The sequence below is a fragment of the Homo sapiens genome, chromosome 6 (assembly GCF_000001405.40).
Source record: "Homo sapiens chromosome 6, GRCh38.p14 Primary Assembly".
Taxonomy (NCBI): Eukaryota; Metazoa; Chordata; class Mammalia; order Primates; family Hominidae; genus Homo; species Homo sapiens.
The window spans coordinates 110,652,639-110,670,977 of record NC_000006.12 but is presented as its reverse complement, the minus strand read 5'-3'; the positions used below and the strand labels follow the sequence as shown (position 1 = coordinate 110,670,977).

Genomic DNA, 18,339 nt, shown 5'->3' with positions numbered 1-18,339 from the left:
GTAGATATAAGCAGTATTAATACATGAGTCCTGCCTCCCAAGGAACAGTTTCTTTAGTAAAAAAGATATGCATGTACAAAAATGTAATTAATTATTTAATGATATGATATTACTTTTGTTTGCTGTTTTACATTTTACCATTTAAAATCCTATTTTTAAAAACACATTCCTGCTTGCAGTCTCTGACAAGAAAGAAAGTAAAACAAAACAAAACAGATATACCTAAGCACATAGAAAAAGGATTGGAAAGATATGCACCAAGATATTGACAGAGCTTATCTCTGAATGCCAGTATTTTGGGTGGTATTTTTTTCTTTCATTTTGCTTACCTGGATTCTCTAGATTTTCAGAAATTTCGTTTTGAAGTTATAAGACATTCATCATTTCCCCCTCCTTGCTAACACAACAGTGACCCCTCTCTTTCTTTTGCATTCAGCTTTTGCGAGAATTGAAGCACCCTAATGTGATTGCATTGCAGAAGGTGTTCCTTTCTCACAGTGACAGGAAGGTATGGCTGCTGTTTGATTATGCAGAGCATGACTTGTGGGTAAGTATAATCTCACTGTATTTCTAGGATTGTTTTATATAGGTATGGAGCATATTTATATAAAATACATATTGTTAATGCACAGAAAGGAAAGCTTGCTCTGTTAGCCATATTTCAAAGTCAATATAAACATAAATGTTGATTTTGAAGAATTTAAGCAATAAACTCACATTTTACTGAGAAGATAGTATTTGTAATATTTAGAAATTTTACTTCAGAAAGATTTTAATGAATGGGAGACTATACTTTTTTTGGCCCGGGGGAGACGAACGGGGAAGGGAGTTTTGCTCTTGTTGCCCAGGCTGGAGTGCAGTGGCACGATCTTGGCTCACTGCAACCTCTGCCTCCCAGGTTCAAGCGATTCTCCTGCCTCAGCCTCTTTAGTAGCTGGGATTATAGGCATGCACCACCATGCCTGGCTAATTTTGTATTTTTAGTAGAGACGGGGTTTCTCCATGTTGGTCAGGCTGGTCTCGAACTCCCAACCTCAGGTAATCTGCTCACCTCGGCCTCCCAAAGTGCTGGAATTACAGGCGTGAGCCACCATGCCTGGCGGGAGACTATACTTTTATGCAAGTAATTAATGGCAGTTTACTAATATGTATAGTGAAGATTGCTTTAAGGATGTTTTTATCAACGTATGAAAGAAGCAAAAAATTCTAATTCCTGTCTTTTCAAATTAGGAATCAGAACATTTAAACACTTTATCTGAGGAACTGCTAAAAGTAACAAACTTCAAATCTGGCACTAAGTTAAAATTATGGATAATTAATTTAGCACCACTATGCCTGGCTAATTTTTCAAAAATGTTTTATAGAGACAAGGTCTTGCCACCTTGCACAAGCTGGTCTTGAACTCCTGGGCTCAAGTGATTTTCCTACTTTGGCCTCTCAAACTGTTGAGATTATAGGCATGAGCCATCACACCCAGCCTTTTTTGTTTGTTTGTTTGTTTGAGACAGGGTCTCGCTCTATCACCCAGGCTGGAGTGCAATGGCACAGTTATGGTTCACTGCACCTTTGACCTCCTGGGCTCAAGCGATCCTCCTGCCTCAGCCTTCCAAGTAGCTGGGACCACAGGTGCATGACCACACCTGACTAATAAATTTTGATTTAATATAATGTGGTTTGTCATCTATATAAGTTATAAATCTGTTGAGGAATAACTTTAACAGACTCAGGTCTTAAAGAAACTTTCAGAGTGTATGCTATTATAGCAGATATGGACAAGAATTTCCAGTGTGTTTTTTTTGTTCAATTCTTTTCATGGATATTCACAGACATTGTATTTTCTCCATTTTTCTATATTCCCCTATATGTCAACCAAGGCTTACTGGACAGTGTATGTACTTTACTTTGAACATCAGTGGGGTGATGAAAGAAGATGATGTTGTACATTGGAATAGTCAGATCCTGTAGAACTGTACTGTCCAATACCATATTTCAAAATAAATATAATCATAAATGTTGATTTTAAAGAACTTAAGCAATAAACTGACATTTTACTGAGAAGATAGTATTTGTAATATTTAGAAAATTCACTTCAGAAGTATCTGAAGTGCACACATTGATTTTACCTGTTTCTTTTTTTTTTTTTTTGAAACGGAGTTTCACTTTTGTTGTCCAGGCTGGAGTGCAGTGATGCAATCTCAGCTCACTGCAACCTCCGCCTTCTGGGTTCAAGTGATTCTCCTGCCTCAGCCTCCTGTGTAGCTGGGATTACAGGCATACACCACTACGCCCAGCTAATTTTGTATTTTTAGTAGAGACGGGGTTTCACCGTGTTGGTCAGGCTGGCCTTGAACTCCTCACCTCAGGTGATCCACCTGCCTCGGCCTCCCAAAGTGCTGGGATTACAGGTGTGAGCCACCACACCCAGCCTCTTTTTTAATGTAGCTGTTAAAAAGTGGAAAGTTATACATGTGGCTCCCAGTATATTTCTACTGGAAATCACTGCTGTAGTATAAACTCTATTTTTCTATTATTTCTTAAAATCAAATCAATGTTATTACTGAACAGTTTATAAAAATAAAAAAGCTGTATAAATAGCTTAATAATTTTACATACCATTTGGTCATCTTAAAGTTACTGGAGCGCTATTGACAATTTCATCAGTATTGTTTGCATAGGATTTTGATGGTCCTCAGTGTCCATTTTATGTTTTGGACAGAGGCAGGGGTGGGGTAGGGATGGAGGTGGAGGTGGGAGCACTGCGGGGGCAGGTAGCATTTTTTCCCTTTCAGTACAATGTTTTTATAACCCACAATATAACGTGGATATAAAAATTTGAATATGGTGACCCAGTTGTATTTATTTCAATGGGATCGAATTTCCTATTTTTTCTCTCTCTTCCTTTTTAGCAATTTCATATTTAACATTAACTCCTAGGAATATATTCTAATTTATTCTGTGCCAAAGATGAAACTTTTCCAATAATTCAAATATACACCTGATCAGTGATGTTACCCAAGTGTACTAAGTGCTAACTTTTTATAGAAAGTGAAGATTTACAGTTTTTCTTTCTTTTTTAAATCTTTCATTCTGTCAGTAGAGAATATAATACTCTTCTTCAGCAGCTGTTTCAATATCAGTCCTTTTTACCTTTTGGTCCTATTTAATGAAAATCTTAATGGTTTCAGTAAATTTAGTCATTATAACCCCTCATTAACATGGTCACAGTCACCCTCAAAATAGATTGTTTTGGTTGAACTTATTACTCAAATTATTTTTCTTTGTGTCATTATTGGCCTTTAATAAGTAATTTTAAAATATAGAGCATTTGTTACAGCATTGATTGTGTTTTATTGGCATAGATATTAGCAAAGACTATATTATTATGTTTTTTTTTAATTTTTAGCATATTATTAAGTTTCACCGTGCATCAAAAGCAAATAAAAAGCCCATGCAGTTGCCAAGATCTATGGTTAAATCCTTACTTTACCAGATTCTTGATGGTATCCATTACCTCCATGCAAATTGGGTGCTTCACAGAGACTTGGTAAGTATTTTTCTTTTAAATTCATCAATATGTTTTTCCCTACTCTTTTAAAAAATATATTTTCTTCTTGGTACCATTATAATAAAACATTAATTATAGAAAAACTTGAAAATATACATAAGCAAAAAAGAAGATAAAAATCACCCATAAACCTATAATAAAAAGATTAACACTATTTAACATTTGGTGGGTATCATTCCATTATATTTATGCATAGCTGTAAAATATCAGTGTGATTTTGAACAAATGATTACTGTACAATTTTAATGGAGTAGTCACATGTGAAGCATGCACATTTCAATCCAATTTGTTCTTCATATTATTGCTCATCATTAGTAAAAATGTAATTAATACTGAGTTCTCATTTTTCTTTCCCTTAAGATCTAAACTGAAATAATGACATTGCATCTAGTAAAAAGAATGTTATCAATATTAATAAACAAATGAATAAATAAATCTAACAGGTGGTATATACTTATTAGGCAAATTAGCTGCAAGTTAGTGTTTGATTTTACTTTTTTTTATTCAGTATACATGTAACCATTATTTACTGATATCAGATTATATTGCTAGATATTCATCTTCACATTGTTGTTATTTTAGTTTATGTTGATGCAAGTTTCTTTTGTTTGTTCTTAAGAAGATATGGTTATGGAATAGCTGTAATCCTCATTTTCTCCTCAGTTTATGTTGGAGGTTTTATTTTGGCCCCACAACGTGATTTCATGATCTTTTGTTTCTTAGGCTTTTGAGAATTCTGGGGATATGGTAGGGATACATCTAGGTAAATTCCATTTTATTAACTGATGAGCAGTGTTTATTGACGAAAGGATCTAGTTAGTATCCGTTGGGACCTTGTCAGTCAGGGCTACTCATCTGACTTGACCATTCTTGCTGTGATATTGTATAAATTGGGGTTAAATGATAGTGACCACAAAAGATGCATTTACCATATTAATGGAAGCATTTCTCCTTATAATTTTTTTTTTTTTTTTTTTTTTTTTTTTTTGAGACAGAGTCTCTCTCTGTCGCCCAGGCTGGAGTGCAGTGGCGCCATCTCGGCTCACTGCAACCTCCGCCTCCTGGGTTCAAGCAATTCTCTGCCTCAGTCTCCCAATTAACTGGGATTACAGGCACCCACCACTATGCTGGGCTAATTTTTTTTTTTTTTTTGTATTTTTTAGTAGAGACAGGGTTTCACCATCTTGGCCAGGCTGGTCTTGAACTCCTGACCTCGTGATCCACCCTCCTCGGCCTCCCAAAGTGCTGGGATTACATGTGTGAGCCACCGTGCCCAGCCTCTCATAATTTTTAACTGTAAGATTCTTTGAGGCTTCCATGTGTCCACTTTACTATTAGCTCTGAATCAGCATGTTTTAAAATGATTATTGGGCTGGGTGTGGTGGCTCATGCCTGTAGTCCCAGCACTTTGGAAGGCCGAGGTGGGTGGATCACTTGAGCTCAGGACTTCGAGACCGGCCTGGGCAACATAGCAAAACCCCATCTCTAACAAAAAATAGAAAAATTGGCTGGGCGTGGTGTGCTCCTGTGGTCCTCGCTGTTTGGAAGGCTGAGGTGGGAGGATGGCTTGAGCCTGGGAGGTGGAGGTTGCAGTGAGCTGAGATCACTGCAAACTCTGCCTGGGCAACTGAGCCAGACCGTATCTCAAAACAAATAAACAAAAAGATTATTGGGTACATGATGTTGTTCTAGATCATGAGAAGAACTCTTTCATAAACGGGCTTTTAGATTTTAATCTGCTGTGCACTTAATGAAACTTATGCAGGTTATATTTTTGAGGTTATGTTCATGTTTGAATCATTGATCAGAATCTTTTATTGAAGATTAATTTATCTGAGCTCCTCTCTCTTTTTCATAAAATTCTATATTTTGTTCTAAACAGCATAGCTTAACATATTTTATTCATGATATTGTCACCTGAATGTCCACTGATACCAAAATTTAGTATGCCCAGGACTCAGTTTCCTCCCATTCAGATTTGCTGCTGCTTTAGTGTCCTCTCTTTTGGTTATGGCACCACCCTCTTCCTAGCCTAGAAATTTATTTTACCTCTTTGCAGACCCTTCTTTGCACTCCACATTCAGAACTTGTCAAGTTCTTTCAGTGTTGTCTCTAAAATATGCCTTGCACTCATCTATTTTCATCTCTAGTCCTCATTCCTAGTTCAGGCTTTTATTACCTCTTTCTTGCATTGTGATACTAGCCTCTATACTTGTCTGTTGTCAACAATCTGTTTCCCTTCCAATCTACTTTCGACCTTCTGACTAATTACTCAGCTCCTGCTCAAGAACTTTGAAATAGTTCCTCATTGCTTACAGACTAAAACTCTACTTCCTTATTTGGCTTTCAGAGTTTTACCAATTATAACTTTAACTGCCTTTAAAATTTTTCTCTATCCCTGTCATCTTTCATGTATACTTTACTACTGAACTATTGAGTGTTCCCTGTCTCCTCCTGGGATTTCCTGCCTTAATGGCCTTTATTTCCCCTATCTTAAAACCCCTTATCCCTGTCTCAACATATTCAAATACTATCTGTCTTTCAGGGCCCAACACAAATGTTAATTAAAACTTACCCTCATATCCATGTCTACTTGGAACCAATCTCTTCTTGTTGTTGGTTCCTGTTGTACTGCATCTTTACTTCTGTTATGGCATTTATCTATTAGTATTATAGCAGTTTAGAGATCTCTTAGAACATCTCGTAGCCTGTGAACTTCTTGAGAGAGCAAGATCTATGTCTGACTCTTTTTGTACACTACTGCCCCTGTACACAATAGGTGTTGAGGAAGTATTTCCTCAGTGAATGAGTATTAGGGAGAATAGTACTGACATTTTGGGGATCAGGCATTTGAATACACTATCCTTAATGAACATTTTTTGTTTTCTTGTATGTGTAAAGCACAGAGGGATGGGAACAACACAAATATGACCATGTCAAACACCTTCTTCTCAAGGAGCCTTGAAGAAATATGACATACACACAAACAATTATACTATAAGATAGATGAGAGAGAATGTGATTGTAGCTACATGAGAAGTACAGACTGAATCTATGCAAGGCCAGAAGAGCTTCTGAGTAGGGGATAAGGGTAAGTTTGAAAGAGCAGGTTGCATTTGAGCTGGACTTTGAAGGATGACTAGAATTTAAATAGAGACTTGGGTGATGAGGGTAACCCAAGGGAGTTTTAGATGTAAAACTTCTGAGGTAAAGAAGCACTTGGATTATCTCAGAAAGGATGTGCAGTTCTGGTTGGCTCAAATATGGATAAGCTGAATTGCAGTAATGTGAGGTCATGCTCAGAAGATATGGGTTGGAGCCTACTAGAGTTAGAGAGTTTTTGGGGTCTTTTTGTTTGTTTAAGTACTGACAGTTTGTGAGCAACAGAATGATTTTTTCCCCCACTAGAAAAGCCACCACTGATTATTATTACCTCATCAATGGCATGAACACAATGTTGAAAATGCATTCTGAATATGGTTCTTACGTAGTATAGCACTGGTTTATATTTTACCCACACATTTACTGAATGCCTCCAACTCCTCAAGTGAGTAACTCTAATAAGATTTGAAATTTTGAACTGACTGGGCATGGTGGCTCATGCTTGTAATTTCAGCATGTTCGGAGGCCAAGGCAGGAGGATCACTTGAGCCCAGGAGTTCAAGAGTAGCCTGAGCAACATAGTGAGTCCCCATCGCTACAAAAAATAAAAAATTAACTGGGTGTGGTGGTGCATACCTGTAGTTTCAGCTACTGAGGAGGCTGAAGTGGGAGGACTGCTTTAGCCCAGGAGGTCAAGGCTGCAGTGAGCCACGATTGTGCCACTGCGCTCCACTCCAGCCTTGGGCAACAAATTGAGACCCTGTCTGAAGAAAAAGAAACTTTGAACCAACAGGAATCTAGTCTGTGATAGCCTCTTCAATTCTTGATTCACTAATCTTGAGTCCTGATATCTGTGCCATATTGTCATGGTTTTGCCAAAGTACTTTCAGGAGTAGATTTAAACTGTATGCTTGCTTTATAAATACATTCTGTAGTAGATACAGAAATATAAAGTATATGAAATATGAATATGGTCTTAAAAAGAGGATGATGGAGACATTTGAAAAATTATGTTTTGTGAGTTTAAGAGTTGCTGTTGTAGTCAGTGACTAGTTTTGTTTTTCTTAATGCTTCATTTTCTATTGCTGTAAGAAATTTGGCTTGACACTATTTGATAGTCACAACTGAGTGCTCACCATCTCTAAATTTCATTTGATGTGAGAAACCTGGAAAATCCATATAATTAAATGTGTTAGAGTAAATATAAATTTACAGTATAATATAAAAAATTTAAAGTAAATAAAAGTCAGTGTTTTGGACATCACACACAGAGGCATTACATCATCATAAAGGTTGGTGTTTTTCATTATGATTGATTTTATATCTGAATCAATATTTTAATTATGTCATTCGAATCCTAGAATTTAATACAGAAATAGAGAATGTAAATAAAGTCACCAAAAATAACTTAAAATGAAGAATTGCTTTAAAAGGAAAGGAGAAAGAGAGCTAAATATGTTCATCTTGGCTGAGAGACAGTGAAGTAGAGGCATAAGTCTATAAATATTTGGAACTTGTAAACACCAAGGGAGAAAAGATGTATTTTAATTTTATAGCAGGATATAGCTAAGAGTAAGAAAATGAAATATAGGATGACTCATTTTTATGGGATTACTATTTTGGTAGATTGGAAGAATGCCAAGATATAGTTTATCTCTTTTTCAAAATTATGAGCTTCTTGAGAGCAAGGTTCATATCTCAATAATTTTTGTAGTCCCAGCATTGGCATATTGTTTGTGCTCATAAGTTATTTGAATTGAATTTCAGCAAGGCATCTGGCAATTTCACATTATTCTTTAGCAATGATAGAGAAATGCCAGCTAAATGATAATATTATTAAGTGGATTTATGACTCCTTCATTTCAGAATCTTGCTACTAGATCAGTGATATAAATTGAACTATCAGTTAGACTATTTCTTTTTCATTATCATATCCCAGAACCTAGTACACAATAAGCACGAAGTCTTTATTGAATGAAGGATTTGAATGAATGCTTTAGGGTCTCAACCTTAGGTCTGTCTTTTAAAAAATATGTGTGGAGGCCAGGTGTGGTGGCTCATGCATGTAATCCCAGCACTTCAGGAGGCCAAGGCGGGTGGATCACCTGAGGTCAGGAGTTTGAGACCAGCCTGGACAATATGGTGAAACCCTATCTCTACTAAAAATACAAAAATTAGCTCGGTGTGGTGGCACATGCCTGTAATCTCAGCTACTCGGGAGGCTGAGGCAGGAGAATCGCTTGAACCTGGGAGGCAGAGATTGCAGTGAGCCGAGATCGTGCCACTGCACTCCAGCCTAGGCAATAGAGCGAGACTCAGTCTCCCCCCCCAAAAAATAAAAATACAAATAAATAAATAAAATGTGTGGAGTTGCCATCCCAAAGCTCTTTTCACATTAGTGGGTGAATTTGCAGTCTTTTGAAGTCTGTGGGCACAAATAAGTATATGATCTGCAAACATGGTACAGTATATCAAAATTTTGTGAGATCCAGTTGAGAGAGAAAATAATTTTGTATCCAGGAATCTTTTGGCTTTTATTGTTAATTAACAGCTATTAAAATGTCTAGTAGCTGTTACTTCTGTCACAGAAGTAAAAACTTATTCTATTAGAGGTCTATCCGAATGAAGTAACAAAAAACCTTGCCAATACTTTGAGTCAGATATGATTTCTTCATCTGATTAAAGGAAATGATGCAAACTGGGTAGGGTGGCACATACCTGTAGTCCCAGCTACTCCAAAGGCTGAGGTGGGAAGATTGCTTGAGGCCAGTGGTACAAGGCTGTAGTGCGCTGTTTGTATCTGTGAATAGCCACTATACACCTGTCTGGCAACATAGTGAGACCCCATCTCTAAATAAATAAAATAAAAAAGAAATGTTGCAATAGATATTCTAGTTGCAGAGGAAAGTACAGATATTCCCCAATTTTTCATAGAATTACATCTCATTGGAACCATCATAAGTTGAAAATATTATAAGGCAAAAGTATGTTTTTAACTTCTAGTATCTTCAACATACAATGGGCCTATCCAGAAGTAACCTCTTTGTAAGTTAAGGAGCTTACTGAATGTGTATTGCTTTTGCACCATCCTAAAGTCGAAAGATCAGTACATTGATCCATTGTAAGTTCAGTGATTTTCAGAATTCAAAATATGTTTCCTAATTTTCCCCATTGAAAGTTGGGAACCATCTATATATTATATGACTTTGGATATTTTTTCATACTTATTAGAAGCAAGTTATTAGGTATAGTCCACACTCAAGGAGAGGAGTTTACACAATAGTGTGTATACCAGGAGGTGGGAAAGATTGGAAACTATGTCTGAAGCTACCTATTGATAGGGACAGGAGGCAGGGAAATTCTGGGCAGAAGAGGGTGGGTCCCTGGTGAAGTTCCTACCCTCAAGCCTAAAGGCCTGATACTGTGGCCCAAAGTGAGAACTTACATCCCTGTTTTCCCACTTGAATGTTGCCTTTTCCAAAACCACCCATGACTTGCCCTGCTCCCCATCCTGTGCCCATAAAAACCTCAGGCTCAGCCGGCAGAGAGGAGAAGCAGCTGGAGGTTGGAGACTGGTTGCATATTGGAGATAAGCAGCTTGACTTCAGAAGGACAGCTTGATGGTGTAGCTTTGGAGAAGAGTCTAGTTGGAGATGGCTGGACTTTGGGGGAGATTAGCTTCCTGCTCCATCCCCTTTTCAGCTCCCCTTCCTGCTGAGAGCCACTTTTATTGGCAATCAGATCCCCTACATTTACCATCTTCAGTTTGCCCAGGCGACCTCATTCCTCCTGGATGCTGGACAAGAACTCGGGTGCCACGAGTGCAGGTGCAAAAGGCTGTCACACCAACCCTCCACTGAGCTGTTAACACTTAAGCTGTCTACAGATGGCAAAGCTAAAAGGGCACTGTACCATTCCTTCTGTGGCTTAAGGGGTCATGGGCACACCCCTTAGACACTGCCATGGGCCCCGCACAGAGTTTTGCTCCTGCTGGCACCCAAAAGTACTCGCCCCGGCTCCTGTACCCACTCGCCTGCATGCTTCCCCTCCTGAGAGCAGGTCGAGTGAGTGGAGTTTGCCCCTGCTGGCACCCATGCACTCCAGTTCCAGCCTGCGAAGGGGTCAGGGAAATATCCTGTTTCACTATCAGAGTTGAGGAAGGTTTTAAATGATATTTGGGGCTAGCTGTGATGGCACATGCCTGCAGTCCCAGCTACTCAAGAGGATAAGGTGGGAAGATACCTTGAGCCCAGGAGTTCCAGTCCAATTTGCATAACATAGACCCTGTCTCTAAAAAACAAAACAGAGCAAAAATTAAATGATACCTGGATCCTGTTATTGTCATTTTTTATTTAGTGGAAATGCAATGAAGAAAATGCAAAAAGTCCCCACCTTTCATATATAATTTTTTCATGTGTAAAAGTTACATGGATGGTAAGATCTAGCGGCGGTTCTGGTTGGAAAGAGCTAAAAAATAGTTATAATGTACTAGTTATCTCTTCCCTTTTAGAAACATTGTTCAGTGATTTTCAGAATTCAAAATATGTTTCCTAATTTTCCCCTCCTCTCCTCTCCCCTTCTCTTCTTCCCCTCCCTGCTGTCGAACCACAGATTTAATCCACTTAAGTTCAGAGGATATATTCAATTGAGGTCCAGAATTTATCACTTTGAACATACCTAGACATTTCCATCTTTTTATGCAGTCTGAGGCCTGTGCTTATCACTAGTATTAGTACTTTCTTATTTCTATATTCTACTCTTTTGTGTAAAGCAGAGGCAAAAATGCGAAGAAAAATTTAAATAATGGCAAAACATTGTTTTCCAAAGCTGGTATTTCTGCTGAATTGTAACAGCTAGCCAAGAGGCATTGAAAGGACACTATGCAGAAACATGAAAAAGACCTTTAGCTGAAGAGAGTGAAGATATCTCTGTATGAAAGTCTAATACTATGTATGCAAAAGTCAAAGACCACCCTCTGTTTTCACTCAGCTGTAAGAAAAATGCTGTACTGTTCATCTTTCTGAACATTTGATTAAAAATAAGTGCTTAGAAATCTCTGCATGCAGCATAGCTTCTCTTCATAAGTTGTCTGACAAGGAGATACAGCAGGTCTTTAATTTTGTCTCTGCTAAATAGGGCCTGATAAGGCAAAACCCTTAAAATCTTACTGTAACCATTATGCCAGCATTTTGCAGGCATTTAATATCGTTCTCTAGAGTTTTAGCCTTACTTAGTCCTTAAGATATAGAAACTTTGAGAACCTACACTTTAAAAAATTATTTCTAAGATTTTGATCCTTAAGCCTTAGTTTACTCATCTGTAAAATGGGGAATACTGAGAAGTAATTTATATGGTTGTTGACCCTCAGTTCCACCAAAGTTCCTGAATGTAGCTCCAGAGTTCCTGAATATCTCATTTTCTTTCTGCAGAAGCTTCTGTACATTCTTTCTTGATCCTGCCAGTAATCCAAAGATGCCCTTTCTTTAACCTCTTTTTCCCCCCAGAATGCCTGTCGTCTCATACTCTTCCTAGCCCCTTCAGCTTTACAAAGCAGAGATCTAGTGTAAATATGTGAAATATGCCTCCTGGTGTTAAAACAAAAAAAGTAGGCTGTGTTTTATCCTGTTTATATTTAAATATTACAAATATTTTTGCCAAGTCTTCATATTTAAAATATGGAAGTTTTTAAAAAGCTTGATTAAATGAGATCACAATTAGCAACTGCTTCAAATGTACTTTTCATTCTTCCTTCTTGAATGATATATTACTAAGAGAGGCTTTGGAGGTAGCAATTCCATGCTAGTCAAATGACTTAATTATTTGTTATTTTTATTTGATTTATCAGTTAACATTCTACTTAAAGAGGATTATGACAAGAAGTAGTATTTCTTTTAATATGACTTAATCATTCTGATTTCTTTTAAAATGCATAGTTAGCAATCAGAAAGCAAAGTATGGCCTGGATATCTTCTGACCTGCTATTTTAGGTGATTTTGGACAATTGCAAATCTTGTCATGCTGAAGAATCATACTAGTGTTCCTGCCAGTGACCTCTGGTTCCTAAGAAGTTCCTTAAAGCTGAGTCCTTGATAGTCTAGGGCTTAGCCATTCATGTCTGCAGTCTGGAGGCCTTTGATGGTAGTGATGCCATCCATGCTCCTGTCTTGCTGCCTCTACACAGGCCTTGTGAAGATCAGACACAATGTTTCTTACAGTGCTCTGGATATGGTGACACACACCTTACATGTGTAAGAAGGTAATATTGATGTGTTTTCTAGACATGGGCTATGATTTTTCTTTTTGGCATGACAGTTTTTTTCATCATCTGAGTTCATAGCCCTGTAGTTGGAGCTTTCAACAGAGTCCTGCACATCTATCTGTCAGTTTGAATTAATGCTTCACCAGTTATTCCATAGTGAGAGGGTACACACCAAGAATCCCACTTCCAAGAGGGCCAGCTTGCAAGGAGCCATGGTTTGACTCACAGTGACATACAAACTCTCTTAAGGTTTAACTCAGGGTCAGGGCTCATTTGATAATCACTGACTTAAGCATAAAGTTTTAGTGGCCTGTGCTGACAAACACATGTATTAAGAAGACTATTTACCAAACTAACTTCAAGGTCACTAAGAGGGTCTAATTAAGATACATCCCACATTGATAGCAATGGCAGGAACTAGTTGAGAACCAAAGGCTACAGACAGAGCCCCAGTACTTTGAGGCCTTTGGCTATTACTGAAGAATCAATTTAGGCACGCTATTTTATTAAATTAATTTTATTGAGGTGGAATTTATATACAGTAAGGTATACCCATTTTAATTACAAATTGATGAGTTTTGATAAATATATACCTGGGCAATTAACACCACAGGTATTCTATTAGACTAGCAACATAGATACCTTATAAGAATAAGGGAATCTTGCATGCAAGGACTGATGATTCATTTTACCAAGAGATTACATATGATAGTTATTTTGTGGGATCATATCCTCAACTAAGCACACATCAGGTAGAAGTCTTCTATAGGGAGGGCCATAATCAGTTAAGTACTGTTCATTTTCCCAGGGTGCTGTGGCTGTCACAACTCTGGCTTGGAGTGCATCTCTGAGAGAACTGGGTTTTCATCTGGACCTGCTACTCTCCGCACAGAGTGAACTTGGTCAAGTTGTAGGTCTTTCTCTTCTCTAGGCCTCTCTTTCTTCATCAGTAAAACAAGAGAGCTCAGTCTGAGAATTTCTATCTCTGACATTCTTAATTTCTCATGATAATAAGACCAAATTATTTGATCTGGATGTGGGTATTCCAAACATAAATAGAAAGCTACTCTCTACCAGTGTTGCTTCTCTAAGGATGAATTGTACTTATTAATGAACAGGAATAAATCCAAATACCTTTGTAGCATTATTCCTACCATGGATGTTAATGTGGAATATATCGCGATTATACTCGCATAATGACCTTTAAGTTAGTTAGGTAAATAGCCTTCTACATACATGTATTTGTTTTACATTGAACTTTTTATAATGGTTGCTTTTTATTGGTTCTTGTTAGAGAAAAGAAAACCTTATCTCTGTTGTCCAGGCCAGTAACTACTCCTGAAAGACAAAGAAACACATTGTTAACTGTTGGCAGTGCTGGGTTGGCAAGCATTGTTTACTGTGAATACTGAAGTTTGATTAACATAGGTGTTATATTACAGATACTGTTAAACCAGTTTAAGCTAAAATGAAATTAGTCATAGCATTTAATATTACAGGTTTCTCCTGATTTACAGATAGCCTACATATAGTTGTAAATACATAATTTCAAACTGGAAAGGCATTTTCATTAGAAATAACATTTTAAACAGTAGTTAGAGTCTCTGAATAGAAAGACCTATTTAGCCTATAGTGTACCTAAAGTTATGACACTAATGTAATTATGGAACCTAATTGTCATTTTTAGCTATTTATTTATTACTGGATTTCTGTGGGGGGAAGTAGTGGTTTACAGACAAAATACAGAATATTTGCATTACAAACATATTTGGCTTCTTAATATGTACCAGATAGTATGCTGGGTACTGGGAATACAGAGTTAATGAATACGATCCCTTCCCCCAACGAGTACATGGTGGGGAAGAGCCAACAAACATAATCATAAAGCAACAAGGTTTACAAAAGAAATTATGAGGTACATTCAAGGATGAGCTAAGCATAAGGTACTAAGTACCTTGGATAATTCATACTGAGCTGAATAGGAAAGGATTCATAGAAATTGGTAAGATGAAGAGAGGTGGGTGGGGAGAGCATTCCAGGCAGAGGAGTATGAATAAGGGCATAGAGAAGAAAGTACAAGCACTTTATATTACTGGGACAAGGCAAGAAGTAGTAAAAGAAGAGGCAGGAGAAAGAGGACCAGATTATGGTGGATCTTAGTTGTCCTGTTTAGAAGTGTGGATTTTTCCTGTGTCCAGTTTCCTGAGCTGGTCAGGTTTTTGTTAAAGAAAGACCACTCAGACAGGGCTATGGAGAGTTGGTTTGAGGACACAGGGATAGTAGCCTTATCAGGTGGTTGAAGTCAGCTGGTGGAGAAATAAGGAAGGCTTGAACTATGACAGAGGTGATCCAAATTGAGAGGAGGGGAGATAGTTGACAAAAATGTAGGATGTAAGTAGTCAGATCTGAGGATTGGTTAGATTTGAGGGAGAAAAGAGAGCGTCAATGCAAGTTCAGACTTCTGCTTTTGTTGACTTTGTGACTGAGAAAGGATTAACCAAAAAAAGAGGAGTTTTGACAGGGAAAAGTAAAAATTTAGTTTGGACAAGTTGAGTTTGAGGTGACTGTGGTAATGGCTACTGTCAACATATCTCTGAGATATATGGAAAGTTAGAGACCTAGAGGTATAGATTTTGGTGCCATTAGCATATAGAGGATTTTTATTTTTATTTATTTTTTTTTTTTTGAGATGGAGTCTTGCTCTGTTGCCCAGGCTAGAGTGCAGTGGCGCGATCTCGGCTCACCACAACCTCTGCCTCCTGGGTTCAAGCAATTCTCCTGCCTCAGCCTCCCAAGTAGCTAGGACTACAGGTGCGTGCCACCATGCCCGACTGATTTTTGTATTTTTAGTAGAGACAGGGTTTCACTATGTTGGCCAAGCTGGTCTCGAACTTCTGACCTCGTGATCCACCCACCTCAGGCTCCCAAAGTGCTGGGATTACAGGCGTGAGCTACCGTGCCCGGCCTATCGAGGATTTTTGAAACCCCAGAATAAAGTAAAATAATAACTTTTAAAAACCGTTATTCAGAAGTGAGCTTGGCATGTTTTGGAGTATTTATTCTAGTTTCCTTCAACTTCTGTTCTTTCTTTCTTTCTTTTTTTTTTTTTGGAGACAGAGTTTTGTTCTTATTGCCCAGGCTGGAATGCAATGGCATGATCTTGGCTCACCATAACCTCCACCTCCCGGGTTCAAGTGATTCTCCTGCCTTAGCCTCCCGAGTAGCTGGGATTACAGGCATGCGCCACCATGCACGCTAATTTTTTGTATTTTTAGTAGAGGTGGGTTTTCTCCATGTTGGTCAGGCTGGTCTCGAACTCCTGACCTCAGGTCATCTGCCCGCCTTGGCCTCCCAATGTTCTGGGATTACAGGCATGAGCCACTGCACGCAGCCATCTTCTTTTCAAATTGGGAACTTGCCTCTCAGAGGACACTTATACCTTACCCCATAGCTGGATGGATTATGAGTACAAACCACTGGCAATTTAGCTCATTCACTTATTTGTTTACTCATTCAACAAATATGTATTAAACACAGTATGTACCTAGTTCTCAGCAGACGTATAAAGTTGTGACAGAATGACTCTCCCTGCCCTCTAGGAAGTTGCAACCACAATGATCAGATTCTCCATATTTTAAATCATCTACTATCTAATCAATGAAGTTGTTTTAAGGGGTAAGCAGTTATGATAGACTAATGCTATTAGCAAATAACTGCTTAAGAAAAAAAGAAGAAAAAGGCATAGATTTTACTCTTAGGTAGTTCTTTGCCCTATTTGTTACAGTGCAGAATCTTATTTGTTCAGGGTAAACAATGAAGAACAGTGTAAAGAAAGGAGCATGAACTGAGGGTTTTTTCCTGGGAATGTATGTTTGTATCAAATGTGAGGAAAGTTGTGTCACCACTAACAATATTTAAATAAAAGTATAGTTGTAGCCATTAATATCAAGCCGGCACTGTTCATTGTTTCAGAAACTACTCCAATTGATATTCTGATTGTCTCTGTTCCTATTATTCAGGATTGTAGACAATTGTGTTTGTCTTTTTCTCTCTTTATTGGTACTGATAAGAGTCATATTATGAGTTTCATATTTTTGTCCCAAATGTCTTGGGGTGGGAGAAAGCAAATGTAGTAGGAAGATTGTGTATCTTTAGGCTGTGCTACTCATAATGTGCCAATTAACTGAAATATATTTAACCCTGTGAAAAAATTGATTCTATAGAAGGAAAAAGCAAATCTGGAGTACATGTTAAGTATCATGAATATAAATTAAAGCATTAAGTAAATTCTGCTAAAATGCAGATATTTCAGGAGTAGCTTCTGAGTAATCATATTACTTATCACATTATTTCCCTGACTTTTGCCTTTAAAATACAATTTAACTAAAATGAACCCTGGGCATTGGTTTATCTATCTGATTTTATTGCCGATAACTTAAATGTGAGGCATCCAACTCTTGCCATTTCTACTGTTTCTATGGTAACCAAAGTGTGCAAACCCAGCAGTATCACTTTCTTTCACAGCTGGCATTTTGTGTTCACAGTAAGAAGAGGAGTTTTAGTAAAGCATAGTCTGTGTTACTTGGGATGTAACTAGGTCAGAACAATTTTGGTATCCTTTCTTCATCCTTTTAGGTTTTTTATGTGGGTGAAGGTGTGTATGCATGAACTGTAGTTTTCTTTTTTTTAAAAAAGAGCATATACTTTCACTAAAATTAATCACCATTAGTCTTTTGAAAATTAAGCATAACATCTGCAAACACAACTTAATATAGAATCTTGAGGATTGGATGGAGTTGCCCTGAGACTTGACCCATAGCCTTGTATACCCTTGAATATTTCCATTAAGAAAGATGAAATGATGGATGTGAAATGCTTTGAAAAATTAAACACACTTTGATGGTGATTATATTATTCATTTTGTTATTATTCATATTTTGAAACATCAAGTATCTTGAGACCTTAACATTTATTTACTTGTTCTAAAGGGAACAGGCAATCCCAGTAAAGAAATGCACATTTAAAAATGACTTCCTTCTGCAATTCCAGGTCTTAACTTGACTACAGGAGCCCTTCTCTGTGGTTACTGCCCAAGCTCTAGGTTCTGTTCTCAAACTGTGCAAAAGAGCTCATAAGCTACTACTCCCTTAAACGATGTCACTGCCTCTGCCCTCATCTCAGACTTTACATGGAGAGTCCACACTTAGAGCTTCCATAGGCTTCAAGTATGTTAAATCAAAGGTATTCTCTACTAACTTCAGTACTAGAAAAGAGATATTCCTCCTTTCTCTCTCTGTGTCTTCATTCCATTGTGTTGCTCATATTCTCTGTTTCGACATAGTGTGACTGCAAGAACTTCTATCAAGAGATAGCTGAGTGATCTAAAACCACCTTCCTGTACTACTTGCGTTCA

At 37.7% G+C, this 18,339-nt stretch overlaps 1 protein-coding gene across 16 annotated transcripts in view; it reads left to right on the top strand.

The window, feature by feature from the left end:
- CDK19 (cyclin dependent kinase 19) overlaps window positions 1–18,339 on the top strand; it is a 205,878-nt gene that overhangs the window by 144,878 nt on the left and 42,661 nt on the right. For 13 of the 16 annotated variants that reach the window (NM_001300964.2, XM_011535630.3, XM_024446376.2 and 10 more), the window contains 2 exons: window positions 437–547; window positions 3,404–3,544. The exons of 2 other annotated variants lie outside the window; for them this stretch is intronic. In NM_001300964.2, coding sequence (NP_001287893.1) covers window positions 437–547; window positions 3,404–3,544 — 252 coding nt within the window. Of the gene's footprint in view, window positions 1–436; window positions 548–3,403; window positions 3,545–18,339 lie in introns of those variants that run through there. One more of the 16 variants, XM_047418471.1, reaches the window with a different exon arrangement.